Raw genomic sequence first — 18,700 nt, 5'->3', positions numbered from 1 at the left:
GGCCACTCTTCAAGGCACTGACTTGCTAATGGATTTCATGGGTGTCAGGGGCTAAAATATAATGTAAGTGATGCCACAATCTCAATATATTTAGGGCATCCCTCCTCCTTTTTTAAGAAAGAAAGGGGCCAGGCATGATGGCTCCTGCCTGTAATCCCAGTACTTTGGGAGACCGAGGTAGGTGGATCACCTGAGGTTGGGAGTTCGAGACAAACCTGACCAACATGGAGAAACCCCGTCTCTACTAAAAATACAAAATTAGCTGGACATGGTGGTGCATGCCTATAATCCCAGCCACTCGGGAGGCTGAGGCAGGAGAATCGCTTGAACCCGGGAGGTGGAGGTTGCCGTGAGCTGAGATCGCTCCCATTGCACCCAGACTGGGCAACAAGAGAGAAACTCCATCAGAAAAAAAAAGAAGGAGAAAGAAAGAAAGAAAGAAAGAAAGAGAGAGAGAAAGAAAGAAGAGAGGAAAAGAGAGACAGAGAGAAAGAGAGAGAAAGAAAGGAAGAAAGAAAGGAAGGAAGGAAGGAAGGAAGGAAGGAAGGAAGGAAGAAAGAAGAAAGAAGAAAGAAAAGAAAGAAAGAAAGAGAAAGAAAGAAAGAAAGAAAATTAGTCTGATGTCTGTCTGGAGATACCATTACCACAAAGGGGAGAGGTGTTCTCCTCTTCCCCTTCTTCCTCTCTCCTGCCTCACATGGTCCCTCTAGAGATTCCCTAGACAGTGTTCTCAGCCAATATTGCTCTGTTCTGGTCCAGGCATGCTATAGGCATGCTTTTGCAGGGGCTAGCCTGGAACACTGTTTCCTCTGTCATGCTAGCCCATAGATATTAATTTACCAGAAGTGTGGCTTAACGGGAGCAAAACTAGGAGGGGTGGGAAAAACGACCCCCGACCTCGGAGAGAGCTGTGATCGGGATCCTATTTCCCATGCACTGGTGCACCCACCTGTGGCCTTTGTGCACAGGTATTCCCTGTGGACTCAGCAGAATGTTAATAATAACTAACACTTAATAACAGTACTTGTCACTTGTATTGCATTGCATGGTTTCTCAGATCACTTTTACATAGTCTCATTACTTCAACTAATCCTCAGGGAGTGAGGTATGTGGGGCAGATATATTATTTCTACTTTGCAAATGGGGAAACTGAGGCCCAGAGGACTTGCCCAGGGCCACCCAATTAATTAAGGCAGAGCTGAGAGGTGAACTCACGTCTCAGGATGTTGCACAAACCTGGGCACTGGCACATATAGGTGTTACCTGCACACACCTGAGGTGGATTTTTAAATTAAAAATTTTTTTTTTAATTTTGGAGACGAGATCTTGCTATGTTGCCCAGACTTGTCTCGAACTCCTGGCTCAGGTGATCCACCGTCTCCGCCTTCCAAAGTACTGGGATTACACGTGTGAGCCACCGCGCCGAGACCTGAGCTGGGTCTTCAAGGCAGAGGCTCTAAAAGAGCTGAGGCTGAACTGTCCCAAGCCTCAGCTAGAGCCTCACAATGAGGCCTTTTCTTGTGACCCCATGGGGCTGATCTTGGCGACCCCACCCAGGCCCCCGCCTCTCTATCGCTCTCCGGGGGTGCCGGGCTGCTCCTGCTGGGCAGAGGGGCCAGGCAGGGAGCCGGAGCCGGAGCCGGCGGCCTCGGGTGGGTCCGCGCCCGCAGGTGCGAGGAAGGCTCGGGCCGCCAGCCCATCCTCCGGACCCGCAGACCGAGGCTCGGGCCGCACGCGGCCGCCCCCTGGTGGACGTCGGCGTGTCGGGCACGGCGCAGTCACCCGGCCCCGGCGGAGGCGGCGGGTCTCGTGGCTCTCTCGGGCGCCCGCTCCCCCGCCGCCTCCCCCGCTCCCTCCACTTTGGGGATAATTTAACATGTTTCACACTAACTTTCCCGTAATGGCCGCGGAGCCTTTGGAAATGCAGCCTCCCCGCTTTATCGGCGGCTGCGCTAATGGTTATCTCGCAGCCGTGCCCCCGGCGATCCTGTCAGGAGTAAATAGAAGCTGACACAGTCATTTGCTTAAATCTTCTCCACACTTTTGCCGCATTTCCCTCCAGAGGATACCCCTGAAACAACAATTATTTGAAATGTCACGCGTTTCTGCCCCTGGGCTACCAACAAATGAACATTAAATCTATTAACAGCAAAAAAAAAAAAATTAAATGTTTACTTTTCGGAAGGTGTGAGGGGCCTGAGTCAGGGAGGGGCCTAAGGAGAGTCAGGGACAGGGACAGAGGCAGAGACAGAGACAGGGACAGGGACAGAGGGAGAGACGGGACAGGGACAGAGGGAGCGACAGGGACAGAGGGAGCGACAGGGACAGAGGGAGAGACAGGGACAGAGGGAGACACAGGACAGGGACAGAGGGAGAGACAGGGACAGAGGGAGCCACAGGACAGGGACAGAGGCAGAGACAAAGACGGAGGGAGAGACAGGGACAGAGTGAGAGACACTGATAGGGGCACCAGAGGCAGAGAGGGAGGCAGATGCCAGGCAGACAGCTCGGAGCAGGGGGACAGGGTCCTGGGAAAGGGGAGAGACAGACAGACAGGGATATATCCATAGATATATAGATATATCCATCTCCCTATCTATCTATCTCTCTCTCAAATTTAGAGAGAGAGATATACGTACATGCGTGTATATATAGAGAGAGCCCAAAGACACATAGAACAAGACAAAGCAGAAATTGAAACCAAAAAAAGACCACTGTGGAAAAACAGACTCCAAGACAGAAGGGAGGAGGCCAAGGCAGATGCCCAGAGTATGAGACACCAAAAAAGGCAGAAAGAGGCACCCTCCACCCATAAATGGCAGCCCTCCCACCCCGCATTTTTAAAAAGTTAAGTTAAAACCAGAACCCACAGCACGCTCTGCTAATGGTGCTCACCAGCTTAGGGTCTCACTCCCACAGCCTGGTCCTCTTTGGACCTTAGCGGGCCTTGCCTGGTCAGCCTATCCAGGAGGGGGAGGTCTCATGCCCCTCATCACTGGTCCAGCAGCAGAATGTGTGAAAGGCATGGAGACCTGGAAGCAGGAGATTTTGGGGACAGCAGAGCAGGTGTCACAGCAAAGCAGATAGGCCACTGCTGGCCTCACAGCGTCTCGGGCCCCATGGCCATGCTGGCCCACACCGCGGCTCAGTTTCTCCATCTGTACAGTGGGAAGCAGGTCCCTAAACCACTGCAGGCGACCCCAGTGAGCCTGAAGTGTTCTCACAAGTGCAGGGGCTCAGTTGTCCTCCCGTGGGCCCGTGTGACAGTGGAGAGAAGTCGTGCCTGGTCATGTGGAAGGATCTGAGGTGTGTGATGTCGTGCTTTGGTTCCCATAGGTCAGTGCCTCACTCATGCAGGTGTCTGTGGCCATAGAGCACCCCCAGTGGGGAACCGCCCAGGGCAGGGCAGGAAGCTCTCTGGTCATGGAGGGCCATGCCTGACACCAGAACCAGGGCTCAGTGAGGGTCCTTTGAAGGGTTTGAGGGGCAAGCAGTGGAGGGGTCAGTGAGGGGGGTCAGAGAGAGGGTCCTGGGAGAGGAAGGACAGCTGGAGGAGCCAGTGGGTGGGTGGGGCTGCATGAGGGGCTGGTGTGAGCTGTTCTCACTTCCTGACTCCTCCTCCCCTGGCGTCTCTCCCACCAGGGGACATTTTCTGTGACATTTTCTGTTGAAATATAAATGGGTTGAATTTCATCGTGTGAGGTGGAGGGCTCTCTGGGTCCTGGGCCAGGCGCCTCTGGATCCCTCTCTCGCCCCCTCCTGAGGACGGCGTGTCCAAGCTGGGGCTGCACCGCCCGGACCTTCGTTATGTGTTACTGGGTATGAACACTGGCTCCGTACACTCCATACACCAATAACTCATGTTCAAACACAAAAGCAAAGTTGTGACTTTGCTCTCACACGACTGCTTTAAATTTGCACATTTTAGCTGCATATGAACCCACACTCTGAATTCTACATGCCAAGCACACTCAAGTGTACACACAGATGCTCACCTTCCACATTCGAACATCACCTTGCACACTCAGACACATATCCAAGATCTCCTTCCCCCGTCCTCCACCCTGACCATGCCCACCCCCATCCTCTCACTCCAAAGGAGAATGGCAAAGGGTACGTATGGCTGGGTCACTGAGGCTGTGTCCCTGTCTGCATGTAAAGTTGTATATGTGTGCCTGTGTGTGTGACTGACAAAGAAAATATGCATGTATTTCTAAGTCTTTGAATGTGGACATGTTGCCGCATACAAGAAGACTCTGTGTGTGTGTGTGTGTGTGTGTGTGTGTGTGTGTGTGTGTGTTGGAGGGTTGTGTGCCCGTGTGGTTGTGTGTGACTGAGAGTGTGTGGTGGGGGTGTGGGGGGGTGAGTGCTATTTAAATGAAAAAGAAAGGAAGTGAATCAGGGTCGTTTCCATTTTAATTGTAAAACAGATAAGCACTAAACACTTTGAAAAAGTAAATGACTTGAGAATAATTACTCTCTATTACCCAGCGTCCCAGGGGGGCAGTTGGAGGAGCCCAGATGGCTACAAAAAATGGGATTTAGCAGAAAATTGAAGACATTATTCACCGTAACACATTATCAATTACCTTCATATCAATTACAATAACCTTACATTAGCGAGGGGCCCCGAGACCCTCAAGCCCCGAGACTGTGGAATCACTGCAGCCCTGTGGGGGGAGGGGCGGGAGGAGGGGTAAGAGGATGGGAGGGGACTGGGAGGGTCCTGCCTCCTTCTCTCTCCTGGAGATGCTGCCGGCTCAGGTCTCATACCCCATTCCAGGTCTCTATTCCCCAAATTCCTCCCAGCCCCATCACCCTGGGCTGGGGGGTCATGTGGAGGATGAAGTCTGAGAGCAGGAAGTAAGCTGAGGAGGTGAAGGGTAGGAAGGAGAGAGATGGACAGAGAGAGACTGAGGCCAGGAGGTGGAGGTGATGAGAGGCTGAGCAGGAGGGAAATGAAGGGATGGGAGGAAACGAGGGGGCGGTCTAGATGGGCCCAAGATATCTGAGAGGCTGAGGAGACAGAAAATTCAAAAGAATAAGGGGGACAAGGTACTGAAAAGTCACCTTTTAGAAATGCTGCCTTTACTCTGTGGTCATTTCCTAAGCCACCCACCCCTCCTTCCCTCCCCGCTCCTCCTCAGCACTTGGGGCTTTTCTAGCCTGTCATGTCTCCCATCACCCCCCACGCCCTGCCCAGTTAGTTTCTATGTGATTCTCTCCTCCCACCCCAGATTCTCTCTGATGAAGAGGATGAGGGGGCCCTCATGAGAAAGGGTTGGCTGTCACCTGCAGTAGGAACCTCAGAAGCAACACAAAGGGAAGAACTTCCTCGAGGAAGACTCCAACATTGAATCCACCTGTCTAGGCTGTGACCATCAGTGGGGAAAGGAGCCCGAAGGCTCCGCAAGGGCAGGGTCTGAGGTAGAGAGAGAATGAAGAGTGCAGTGATTCCAACCCTCACTGCTCCCTGTTCCCCCAGCCCCCACCAGCACACACGCCACCCTTCACTGGCTTGTGGGAAACCAGCCAAGCCAGGCTGCAGATCTGTCTTGCCCAATATGGTAGCCACTAGCCACGTGTGACATTGAGCACTTGAAGTGTGGCTCATCCAAATGGAAATGTGCTGTAAATGAAAAATACACACCAATTTGTAAAGATTTACTATGAAAAATGTAAAACATGTTAATTCTTTACAAAATATTGATTACATGTTAAGATGATATTAACTTGGCTATATTGGTTTACATAAAATATCTTATCAAAATTAAGCTGGGGCCAGGCACAGTGGCTCACACCTGTAATCCCAGCGCTTTGGGAGGCCCAGGCAGGAGAATTTCTTGAGCCTGGAGTTCAAGACCAGCCTGGGCAACATAGCAAAACCCCATCTCTAAAACAAATTTTAAAAATTAGCTGGGTGTGGTAGTGCATGCCTGTAGTCCCAGCTACTCTGGAAGCTGAGGTGGGAGGATTGCTTGAGCCCAGGAGATTGAGGCTGCAGTGAGCCATGATTGCGCCACTGTACTCCAGCCTGGGTAACAGGGCAAGACTTGTCTCTAAAAACAAACAAAAAGTTGGCTTGATGGTCAACTGGCTACTCTGGAGGCTGAGGTGGGGAAATTACAGAATTGCTTGAGCCTAGGAGTTCAAAGCTGCAGTGCTCCATGACTGCACTTGTAAATAGCTACTGCACTCCAGCCTGGGAAATATAGCAAGACCCCATCTCTAAAAGAAAACATAAATAACGACTTTTTTTTTTTTTTGAGACAGAGTCTCACTCTGTTGCCCAGGCTGGAGTATGGTGGCACATTTTTGGCTCACTGCAACGTCCGCCTCCTGAGTTCAGGTGGTTCTCATGTCTCAGCCTCCTGAGTAACTAGGATTACAGACATGCGCCACCACACCTGCCTAATTTTTGTATTTCTAGTAGGGACGGGGTTTCACCATTTTGGCCAGGCTGGTCTCAGGCTGGTCACAGCCTGGTCAGGATTACTCCTGACCTCAAGTAATCCGCCCACCTCAGCCTCCCAAAGTGCTGGGATTACAGGCCTGAGCCACCGCACCTGGCCAATAAGTATGTTTTTAAAAAGTAGGCTGGATGCAGTGGCTCATACCTGTAATCCCAGCACTTTGGGAGGCCCAGGCAGGAGGACTGTTTTAGTCCAGGAGTTCAAGACCAACTTGGAGTACAAAGCAAGACCCCATCTCTAGAATAAATAAAGAAATAGGTTTTTGGTTTTTTGTTTGTTTGTTTGTTTGAGACAGAGTCTCACTCTGTGGCCCAGGCTGGAGTGCAGTGACATGATCTCAGCTCACTGCAACCTCTCCCTCCCGGGTTCAAGTGATTCTCGTACCTCATCCTGCCTCAGCCTCATGAGTAGCTGGGACTACAGGCACATGCCACCACACCTGGCTAATTTTTGTATTTTTAGTAGAGACAGGGTTTCACCATGTTGGCCAGGATGGTCTCAGTCTCCTGACCTCATGATCCGCCCATCTGGGCCTCCCAAAGTGCTGAGATTACAGGCATGAGCTACTGCACCAGGCCTAAATAAATAGTTTTACCTTTTTTTTTAACCTTTTAAAGAGGAAATGTAGTCACTATAAAATTTTGAATTGCATATGTGGCTCACGTTATATTTCTATTGAACAGTGCTAGGCTAAAGCATCTGGGAAGGAAAGGGTTAAAGGGAGGAGCAAATTCTGGGTGTCCTCCCTGGGATTCACCCCAATGATGTTCTAGTTTTCCACTTCAGAGAAAGGAGCTCCCCAAGGACCAAACTTTCTGAGATGGAGCTGAGGTAGGAATGCCAAGATCCGCCTGTTCTTTTTCCTTTCCTGAAACCCAGCCCCAGATGTCAACCACCCAGGCCAGGATGTTTGTGGACACAGAAGCCCAGGAGTAACAGTCACAGCTTCCTACATACAGCTCTTTTTTCTTTTTCTTTTTTTTTTTGAGATGGAGTCTCGCTCTGTCGCCCAGGCTGGAGTGCAGTGGTGTGATCTCGGCTCACTGCAAGCTCCGCCACCCGGGTTCACGCCATTCTCCCACCTCAGCCTCCCGAGTAGCTGGGACTACAGGCGTCCGCCACCACACCCGGCTAATTTTTTGTATTTTCAGTAGAGATGGGGTTTCACTGTGTTAGCCAGGGTGATCTCAATCTCCTGACCTTGTGATCCACCTGCCTCAGCCTCCTAAAGTGCTGGGATTACAGGTGTGAGCCACCGCTCCCGGCCTAGATTTTCAATCCTCACAAACTCACTTACACATTCCCATTTCTCCCACAGGGCATGCATGCATGCACACACACTTCCTGCTCTTTTGCACAATCTCACATTCCCACAGGCCAGACACATGCACTCACACTGTCTGCCCTGTGACATCTTCATGTAGATATACATGCATTCACACATCCATGTGGACACATGCTTCCCACCCCACACACAGAGCAGGGTAAGGAGGACAGGCGGGGCAAAGTTGTCAACTTGATTCACGGTGTGTGTGTGTGTCCAGGGGAGTGTGAGCTAATAGTGTCCCCCTCCCCCAGGCTGGGCCCAGAGGACTAATTGCCAGTAATGAGCTAAAAGGAGCTCAGAGCTGGCCTCAGGCACCAGATGAAGATGTTTCCAGAGACCAGCCAGAATCTGTCCTGCTGTTTTGTTGATAGAAAATCCTTCTCCCCCGGTGTCCCCTCTCTGTCTCTGTCTCTCCTCCTGTGGCTCCCTCTGGTTCCTGCAGCCTCTGAGGGGTCCAGCCATACTCCACTCACTGCCTCTCCCATCAGCCTCTCAGCCTCCTTCTCCCAGTCATCCTGCCCCATCATGGCATTTGCCCTCCATCCTGCCCCCTTCTCTTCTCCCCTGTGGGGACCTCTCAGGGTATCCATTGCTGAGCAAGCAGATTCCCAAAGGCACGCTCCAGGGCTAATGGGGAAGGTTGCAAGGAGGTTGATTGTAACTGGATCTAAGAAAAATCTTTCCCGTAAGGAGATCTGCCCAATAATAGAAAGGGACAGAGCTGAGCTCCCTTCCATGGATACAATCAAGCAGCGCCCATTGAGGATGCTGCAGAAAAGACTGCCCCACTGGAAAGGTAGTTGCACAGGATGACCCAGGGGCCTCTTCCTGGGATTATTATGGTTACTTATAAGTTATTAATACAAACTTCACTAGTATTAATTATTATAGTTACCATAGGTTAAGTACCTATAAAATGCCAGGTACTTTACATTTTTAGTTAGCTCTCTTCATCCTCACAAAATCCCTGCAAGGTAGACGTTATTATCCTCATTTTACAGAGGAGTAAACTGAGGCTCAGAGAGGTCACATGGTTAGTCAGTTACAGAGCTGGAATGTGAACCTAGTCTGTCTAACTATAATACCCATGCCATTTCCACTAAAACTCATTCATTCATTCTCTCAACAAACATTCACTCATCAAATAGAGATCCTATGATGTTGCAAGTAAAGACTGAAAGGCATGGGCATCCTTAAACTAAAAGGAATTTGGGGGGAGGTGTGATGGTGGGAGCCAGTGTCTCAGTTTAGAATTGGAAGAAGAAAAATCCCCATGAGAGACTCCCTCTGCCTTCCCTAGGTGGTTGTATGTGTCTGGTGTACACACTTGCTTGCATGTGTCTACAGGGCAGGCATATCTGCATGTATTTCAGTAGAGACGGGGACATGGGGACACTCAAAGAGCCAGCAGCTCTGGGTGAGAGCTTGGGAGCATGATAGCCTGGTGTCCCAGCCTGGTGATTACTGGGGCAAATGTGTTTCTAGGGCAGCCCACTCCCTGCTTTTGGCACATCTGAGTCATTCAGCGAGGGCCAGGCCCAGGCCCAGGCCAGACGGACTCTGGGGGCAACAGGATCTGAGGCCGTGTATGTACTCTTCAGCTCCCCTTTCTCCACCCTCAACCCTATATTGGGAGCAGGGGTGGGCAGAGGGGAGGGAAGGAAGGAGAGAAAAGCAGGGACAGTGGTCAGTGTCGGAGAGGGCAGGGGTGACACCCAGAGATTTGGAAGCTGTTTATGATGCAAATATGTGTAAAAGCTCTGCATTACCTCCCCTGAGAAAGAAGCCTAAAATTGAAGTCTAATTATAATGAATGATTGTTAATGAGTTGTCTAAACATAATAGATGGAAAGAATTAAACACCCAGAAGAAACAGGGTTTCATTAACGCACAATAAAGAAACCACAAGTGGGGTGAGCAGAGCCCTCCCCTGTCGTGGAAAACATCGCCTCTTTCCCCTATATGGGCCTGGCAGGTGGGAGCAAGGCCAGGCCCCCAAAATTGGGAAGCTTGGGATCTTTAGGTGATCCTGAATGCTGGAGGCACTCTCGACAAGGGTGGGTACTGTCTGGGCCCACACCTGCTTGGGTGTGCCTCTGCATGGGTGCCCACTTTAGGCATGCTGTCTGCAGCCTGTAAGAGTTTGGTCATAGCAAGTGGGTGTGGACGTGAGTGAGTATGTCTGTTTCTATAGTGGGCTCCAGTCGATGGTGCCATGTGGAATCTTGGAAATGCATGCCCCTTCCAGGTCAAGAGCAGCCTCTGGGCTTTGGTGGTTCTGCCCCAGCACCTCAGCAACCTGGGAGGAAAAACAGCTGGGAGAGGACACACACACCTGTATACACATGTGTGTACAGTTCTGAAGGTCACACTCACCTGAACTCAGAAAGCCGGAAGGAAGAAGAGTAGAGATCATCTAGTCTGAACCAGACCACCATGCAGATGAGGCCCCTGAAGCCCAGAGAGGGAAGGTGGCAAGTCCAAGTGCACACAGCTCAGAGCTGGACCTCATACACCTCCAGTTTGCTCTGGTTTTTAGAACGGCCATTTCTCACGAATGCATGGTTTGGAGTAAGGCCACACACACAATAAGATACTGACCTGCATACACACATACCACACACAGGCGACAGGCCCCAGGCTCTCCTGGGTAAGGTATGAACATTTGGGGGTTTTGGGGAGGCAACAGAAGCCATGCTTCTGTAGGGGGAGGCTGGGCAATGCCAAGTGGTCCCAGGGTGGCACAATGTGCAGGAACACACGTAGCATGGGCTGATGCAGGGCAGAGCCTGAGAGCTGGAGAGAAGCGGGCTTTGATTGACAGGTTAATGAAGCGCTTTATACTGGTGGTGTAACTGCAGAGGCAGGCTGTGAGCAGGCTTGCGCACACACACCCACACACAAACATACACACCCTGACACACAGGCGACACCCAGCAGGGCAGGAGCCAATCTGGCCAACCTCCCGAGTGGCCTCCCCACACCCAGCAGGACGCCCTCTCTACACTGCTACCCCTTACTTCCCTTGGTTCTTGTGGGTTTGGTGTAATTCTGGAGTCACGTTGATTTAGTTTGGGTCGTGCATGGTTGGGGAGGTGGGGGAACCAAGGGCACCTGGTTCTCTGTACTCCCTGTTGGGGTGATCTCCTCCACTGAGGGATAAGGACAAGACTCCCTCCAACACTGAACCCAAACACCTAGGCCGGCTTCTTGCTGGAGATGGGGGTGGCTTGGGCATGGGAGTTATTCTGGATGAACATGCAGGTCTTTAGCCCATCTTTTCTAGACGCACCCCAGGCAGGGCAGCCTACCCTCCCCACACCTTCGTCCTTCTTATGACCCCGCCCCCCTTGGAGCCAACACTGATTGGCTGCCATGCAGGCAGTGCCGGCCAACCAGCCCCCGCAGCGCCAGGAAAAGTTAATTTGGAGTTCTGGTCTCCTCCCAGGATGCATTTGGGCGGCCGCCCATAATGAGATGCATAATTGCGGAGGCCTGCCAACAAAAGCAGGCTGGATTTAATTGAGTCAACGCATGGCCATTAATAATCTGACGGCAGTCCTCCCCCACCCCCACCCCACCCCCGCCCGACATCATCCAATGCTTTGCAGCCCCCAGTTTACTGGGCTCCCATCCCGGGCTGGTCTCCTGTTCCAGGGAAGCAGGTCTGACCATTCCCCAGCCTGGCCCAGTGCATAGAGGCTGAATAGAGAACCCAAACTCTCCTAGAATATCTCATGGTAAATCTGCCCACCTCCTAACCAAGAACACCTGTACCCAACCAAGCTCTTTCCCCATTCAGTCATTACACAACGACATCCTAAGCCCCTACCATGTGCTAGGCACTGAGCTTGGATCTGGGGAATACAGCAGCCAACACAGATATGGCCAACTCCTTGGAATTTAGTGTCACCATCAACTGTCTTGTTACACCCTTTTCATGCTCCTGACACTCATACCTGTCCCTACATGCCCATATCCACACCCACAACTCCACATACCAGCCCTCATACCCCATCTCTACTTGCCTGCTCCCTATACCTGTCCTCATGCCCTGCCCCACACGCATCCCTTTTGACTTATTCAGATCCTACCCACAATATACCCTTTCCCATATTAGTGTCCTCAGTGTCTATTCTCCCATACATGTCCCCGGATCTCCTGCCTGTCCTCATATGCACAATTCCCATAGAGAACACTGTCCACATCCCCTCCCCACATCAGCTTCCCTCCAGGGAGCTCACACTGGGACAGGCTTTCAGGGACCCTGCCAGGCCTGCTTCAGGGGAGTCCTCTCCCTACCATTCCCACCCACCCCACCCCCGACCTGATCCCCTTCATCAGCCCACCTACCATCACAGGCCCCCAAACCTCATCCACACTCTCCAAGTGGGCTGATTTCCTTGAGCTGAGCCTGCATCTGTATAATGGGGAGAATATTTGTAAAAGACTCATGGGCTTGCTGAAATGATGATTTTATGAGATAATGCGGGTCACCGGCTTAGCACAGAGCCTGGCATGCATGAGCACTCCCCAGTGTTAGCTGTTGACTTTAGCTGGGAGGAAATAATCGAGTAAACTCCCCACACCAGGCTCGGGACTGCCTAAACCTCTCAGTGACCTTCAGGATGATCTGTTTTTCATAGGATTTGCTTGAGAAAGGCCCAGCCCAGCCCGAGTGATTGAAACTCAAATGGGAGGAAAAGATCTCCCAAGAAAGCCTGCTTGTTTGTGTTCTCACCTATCCCCTCCTACCCCGCTCCCATACCTCATATACCTGTTTGTCCACTACTCTCCCTCAAAGTGGGTCTGGAGTGTGTGGAAGGAGGGAACTGGACAACGTTCTCCCACCCACTGCCTTCCTTCAGTAAACCTCTCCTAAGGTGGAGATAGGTTAATCTGGCTTTGGAATGGAGTGTGGGTGGGGTCTTGGGGCCCTGGGAGCTGAAATTTCTCATGAAAGGACAAGAAGAGGGCTCCCCTTCCCACAGATTCCTCCGTTTCCACTGGAAACTCAAGGAGTCAAAGGAAGATGGGGAAAAGGCCACGTCTTAGGGAGAGGAAGTGGCATAGGAGAGCTGGGTGTAAGCCTCGTACTCCCATCTGCCCCTCTAACCTCCCTGGTTGGGGGTAGGAGGCGTCTGGGGGTGGACGCTGGGGAAAGAGAGATACCCTCTGTCCCACTCCCTGAGCCTCTCCTTCCAAACCAGGGTCGGGCCGGCGGGCTTCCGGGAGGAGGTGTCAGGGCTGCGCTCTCTGGGGCCGACAGGCGGGAGCGCACGGGCACGCGGCTCCTCTGAGAATCCCCGTCACCGCCGAAATCGCCGAAATTGGCTGCAACTAGTAAAGATGCCAGGAATTTGCACCTTGCTCTGTGACCTAAAGCAAAAATGACATGAACATTGACAAATTTGACAAGGAAATTTGTGCAAAAAACAACTTCTATTTGGCTAGCCAAGCAGCAAATATGCCGGATGATACGCTTTATTAAGCAATCCATTTCTCAGCAATAGCGGCGCCATCTGCAAAGGTTACCGCGCATCAGGCTCGGCACAGAATTTCATCTGCGTCTGCAGTCGGGGCCGCACGCGGACACATTTTTCATGTACATGCGATTCCGGATGCAAATAGAATCCGTGATGAAGGAGGTGACCTTCCGGGCGGAGCCGCGCGCGCTAAAGTCACGCGCAGGCCCGCGGGGAGCGGGCGGGGCAGGCGAGCGTGAGGCACTGCGTGGGTCTGGGGCTGAGGCTGGACCACCAGGGGGTGAGGGAGGGGTCAGAAGCGCGGGTCGTTGGGGGAGAGATCACAGATCTTTGGGTCTTTTCGTTGGAGGTCTGGAAGGAATTTAGGAGGGCATTGGCTCAACCCTCTCACAGATGTGGAAACTGAGGCCCAGCACGGGAAAAGGTCTTGGCCAAGGTCATACAGGTTAGTAATGGTAGGACTGAAGCTAGGCCCGGGGAACCTTGACTTTCAGTCCAGCCGGCAGGCAGGACTCAAGAGTGCAGTGGTTTATATATCTGGGTTCAATTGTTTCATTACTGCTAACTGTATAACTTTTGAGCCAATCAATAAACCTTTCTGCGCCTTCGTTTCCTGTTCTGTCAAATGGAGATATGCTATTGCCCACCTCATAGACTGGTTATGAGGACTGAGTCAATACGCATAATAATAATATAATAATAATGTGTGGCCAGGCATGGTGGCTCACGCCTGTGATCCCAGCACTTTGGGAGGCCGAGGTGGGTGGATCACTTGAGGTCAGGAGTTCGAGACCAGCCTGGCCAACACGGTGAAACCCCATCTCTACTAAAAATACAAAAATTAGCCGGGCATGGTGGCACACGCCTGTAATCCCAGCTACTCGGGAGGCTGAGGCATGAGAATCACTTGAATCCAGAAGACAGAGGTTGCAGTGAGCCAAGATCTCACTACTGCACTCCACTCTGGGCAACAGAGCAAGACTCTGTCTCAAAACAAACAAGCAAATGGATAATGTGGTGCCTTGTTCTTGGGTTAGTCCAGGCTCTCTTTAAGGTAATCTTATGAAAAACAGGCAATCCTAAAAGCTGACTTGCAAGGGGAAGGCACTGAATGGAAAGCTCTTGTGGAGGCAGAATGGGTATAGGTGGGGAGAAATGGGTGAGTCACAATGGGGTGGTGGCAGATGCCTTATCTCTCTTAGAAGGAAGTCCCCTGCTCCCTTCTCTGCTCCCTCCACCCCCTCTTTATTTTACCCCATTTTACAGCCACCTCCCCATGAAAAGAAATAAATTGCATCTTCGTTTCTTACTCCCAGTCTTGTTCAGTTATTCACATCTACTCCAATTTGGCTTGTGGTCCATTGGGACCCCAAGGTCTGTCTGTCTTTCATGATTCCCCATCATGCTTGTGCTCTCAGTTATTGTTCATTCTTTTTGGTTTTCTATTGAGTGAGGGGTCACTCAGGGAGGTGCTGTGCTTCTCACTGATAAAGCCACCCCAATGATGACGTCTCCTTCTCCCACCATGAGTGGCCTAACCCCCACACCTTTGGTAACAATTTCTGATTTCAGATAAAATTCCACTTCTCTCACTGGTCTACATTACTCACTCTCATGATTTTCCTTTTCTCTAAAGTCCCTCCACTCCCTTCCCAACTAAGACTAGTACACTGATGGTACATAAAGAAATTATGGTGTTAATTTTACTCTCTGGTGGTCCCCTCACCCCCACCTCCCCAGCTTAGGGTCCCTCTCTACAGTTCTTAAAACTCCTAGGGAGAGTTCAAGCACCAGTGCCCACCCCTCGACCCCAGTGTTTTTGGAATGGACAAGGTTTACTGCTCACTGGGTCTAGTTCCTCTGTGATTCTTGCACCCTGCCTCCCCACCATCCTCCATACAGTTCTCAAACCCACAGCACTGCCCCCCAACGCCCATAACTATGGGGAAGGTTTGGAGTATGACAGACCTGGCCTCCAAGGTAAGCTTCCAAACCTAGCAACACTGTGATCTTAAGCCAATCAACCTCTCCGAACCTCATTTTTCTCATCTGCATAATGGGGGATATTGATAGTAACAACCTCTAAGGCTGTTGGAAGGTTTCCACGACATAAAATATGATAAATCAATCATTAAATAAATGGATTTCTGCTTCTATTTCCATTTGGCTTCCCCTACTCTCAGCGGCTGTGCAATCTCTCCATCCCTTTGCCACCCTCCACCCCGTAAGTTTATTTTGTTTGTTTGTTTGTTTGTTTGTTTTTTCCAAAGGGCCAGGTTTTCAACCAAATGAAGATCCAATCCTACCCCAAGTCCTCACCTCGGGACTCAACCTGGATTATGGAACAGAAGTCAGAGATATGTTTGTTGGTTTGTTTAACCTTCATGAAGCACCTACAAAGTGTTAGCTGAGATGAGCTCTCATCTATCCCCACCTCTACCTCCAAAGTAGCTGCAGGCACAGGTCAGCCACGCCAGGAGGTGGTACTGGAGTGCCCTACCTCCTCCAAGTACCCTGAAGCATGGCAGCTGAGGTCTTGCCTCTGGCAAGAGATGATGGAGCGGGAAACCACCAGAAAACATTCTAGAGGTAGAAGGAGGGCCCATCTGCGGCCTTCGCTCTCCTGCTGTCCTTTCCTCTCCATCTTCTTTCCACCCCCAACAAACCCCCCCCACCCTCCGCCTCTAGGGTTCGCGTCCAGCTCGAGGATTCCTTGACCGCCCTGTGCAGCAGTTTCGCAAGGCCACCTCGGGGGCGGGTGCAGGAGGAGGTGCCCGCAGGGCAGAACAGCCCTTCCGCAGCACCTCTTAGGTAGGGAACCCCCAAACCCTAGCCCCAGCGCCCTGCAGTTTCTCGCCAGGCCAGAAGGCCGGTGGGGCGGGGCCTGGGGCGAGGGGCGGGGCCCCAGTTCTGCCCGCCCCTTCGCCCGCCGCTGCGCCCCGCCCGCCGCGGCCCTAGCCGGCCGGCCCGCCCCTTCCCCCGGCCCGGGCACGCTACAGTAATCCAGAATGTGTATTTCTGCAGATGATTAAATCAATACAATCCTGACAGGACTTGTTGGAACATGCTTCTTTATTTTGCGCAATTCCTTCCCCGCGTCGCCGGCATTTATCACCTGCTCGGCTGTCAGCGCCGAGATTGTGCGGGGCGAGGGCGGGGCGGGGTGGGGTGGGGGAGGGAAGCTCCGGGGGGTGGGGGCTGGGACCCGAGGCGGGCGGAGCGGACCCGCCGCCACCCTGCACCCACGCCAACGAATAAACTTAGGGGTCGGGCTGTGCCCCCAACCCACGCACTGCCCGCGCCAGTCTCCCTCTGTCCGGGTGGGTGAGGGCGGAGGACAGGGAGACGGGATGGGGCCGGGAGGCAGGGGAGGCCGCAGAGGCAGGAAGCCAAGGGCCGCTCCCGTACACCCCTTTACACGCCGAGCCCCCACTCGAGGTCACAGCCCCGGCGAACGAGACTCCCGCGAATCCTCTCACCCTCCTCTGACCTTGGTCCCTGCAGCTGGGGACCCTTGGAGGTGGGATGGGGGAGAGGAGAATGGGGCTCCACTGCCCTGGGGATCGGTGGACCTCGGCCCGCTGGCCAGGGAGAGAAGGATGGAGGTTTGAGGCAGGAAGAGGAGGAGAAGGGTAAAGAAGAGCAGGGGGAAGCGGAGGACAACTTGGAGGAAGCAGGGGAGGAGGGAGGAGAGCAGAAAAGGGAAGAGGAAGGCTGGAGGGCGAGGAAGAGGAGGAGGGGAGGCAGGCAAGGAGGAGGACGAGGAGGAAGGCTCGGAAGCGGTGGCGGCCGGTGACAGGTGCCTCGCGGTGGCGGCCCTCGGCAGACGTGATTGCCGCGGTGGCTGCGCGCCGGAGCGTGACTTTACAACTAATCCTGTTTGTAAGTTATTATTTATCTTCAGGAAAGTTTGTCAAACTTGGGCTTTGATTTTTCGCCCTGATTTCCCTCTTGTGGCGCGCTCTCGCACGCGCTCCCATATAATTTATGACTGCCTCTGGTCCTGATGACAGATTATTAAAAGTAGAATTAGTTTTTCGCGCAGAATTTTTCCACTGGGAATTGGGAAGGCAGCGCTCTCCGCGGAAGGTCTCCGGCGAGGTCTCCATTACTAATAGAAGTTTTTTGATGGGGTGAGGAGACTAATGATTTGAATTTACTGTGGCAGCAGTCACGTGGGCGGGAAGGCATCAGCCGAAGAGACAAGAGGTTAACTTTCTCCCTGTGGAGAGGTTTATTGGATTGTTTAGCAGCAGAAGGATAATGTTTTTGTCATAGACTGCTGGTGCCGCGCTGCAGTGCGGTGGCCGCCAGCGCCGGGAGAGGGGAGAGGGGAGAGAGGGGGAGGGGGGAGCCGAGGAGACCGCGAGAGGCAGACAGACCGACGGACGCAGGCCGGGCGAGCCAGGGAGCTGCAGGGGCACCCGCACGGAGACACAGCGAGGCGGGGGAGGGCGACAGAGGCAGAAGGACTCCAGAGAGACCGAGACGCAGAGTGACAGACAGAAAGACAACAGCCCCAAGAAACACTGCAGAGAGAAAGAGGGGAGGGCTAGGGGAGCGACAACCAGAGGGCAGAACCACAGCGCGACAGGAAGGAGTGCAGGGGCGGGAGGGCCGCTCCCAGCTGCCAGGGACTAGAGAGAAGGCCCAGGAGGAAGACGGGGGCCCGGGGACGTCCAGGGCCGCCGTCGAACCCCGGGGTGAGGGGCGATGGTGACCCCAGGGCCGGGCCGCTTCCACCCGGGCTATCTGCCTGGGTTTCCGGGAGGCGCAGGCCGCGCCGGCGTCACCAGTCCCGCCGGGGTGGGCCAGTCGGGACCCGCGGGAGGGGGCTAGGGGGGGTGGGGAGTCGCGCGGCGACGGCGGCGGCGGCGCGTTCACCTGGCCGTGCGCTCGGAACTTGTACTCCCAGCATGCCTCGACAACATGGGAACCGGAGGGGAGTCGCTGCGCAGCTGAGAGCCTCGGCTTAATCTTATGCACCATTAAGCACTCAGCAGCAAGCCCGTCCTGTTCATATACATCATCCACGCTTAATAAACATAATGATGACATAAGATGTAATTCTAGATGAATTTTCATTTTATAGGGAAATGGAGAATTCCTGTAGAAGGGAAAAAAAGTAAATTATCTGGGAAGTGCAAAATAAATGATGTTGCTCCCAGAGATGAATAGAGGTGTTAGAGGGAGAGAGGGAGAGGAGGAAGGAGGGAGGGCGGGAGCGAGGGGAGAGAGAGAAGGAGAGACACAGAGACAAGGAGAGATAGAGTCACACAGAGAGACAGAGACGGGGCAGAGAACGCCACGCGGGTGTGGGGGTGGGGCGGGCTGCGGCGACGTGGGGGAGGAACCCGGAGGGCTGGAGGCGGCAGGCGTCTGGGTGGGAGCCGCGGGGGGCCGGGGCCAGCGTT

General features: G+C 53.0%; 2 annotated features.

Annotated features, from left to right (window-relative positions):
• Positions 1,655-1,834: a silencer, noted in NCBI's record as "silent region_2708". NCBI's record gives its function as "represses an Ori minimal core promoter by ATAC-STARR-seq in GM12878 lymphoblastoid cells {active_cell/tissue: GM12878}" and the evidence as "EXISTENCE:reporter gene assay evidence [ECO:0000049][PMID:35858748]".
• Positions 10,434-10,933: an enhancer, noted in NCBI's record as "H3K4me1 hESC enhancer chr10:102421749-102422248 (GRCh37/hg19 assembly coordinates)". NCBI's record gives its function as "activates a minimal SCP1, AML or CMV promoter by ChIP-STARR-seq in naive H9 embryonic stem cells {active_cell/tissue: H9 hESC(naive)}" and the evidence as "EXISTENCE:reporter gene assay evidence [ECO:0000049][PMID:30033119]".

The sequence above is a fragment of the Homo sapiens genome, chromosome 10 (genome assembly GCF_000001405.40).
Source record: "Homo sapiens chromosome 10, GRCh38.p14 Primary Assembly".
Lineage (NCBI taxonomy): Eukaryota > Metazoa > Chordata > Mammalia > Primates > Hominidae > Homo > Homo sapiens.
This window is presented reverse-complemented; position numbering and strand designations above follow the sequence as displayed.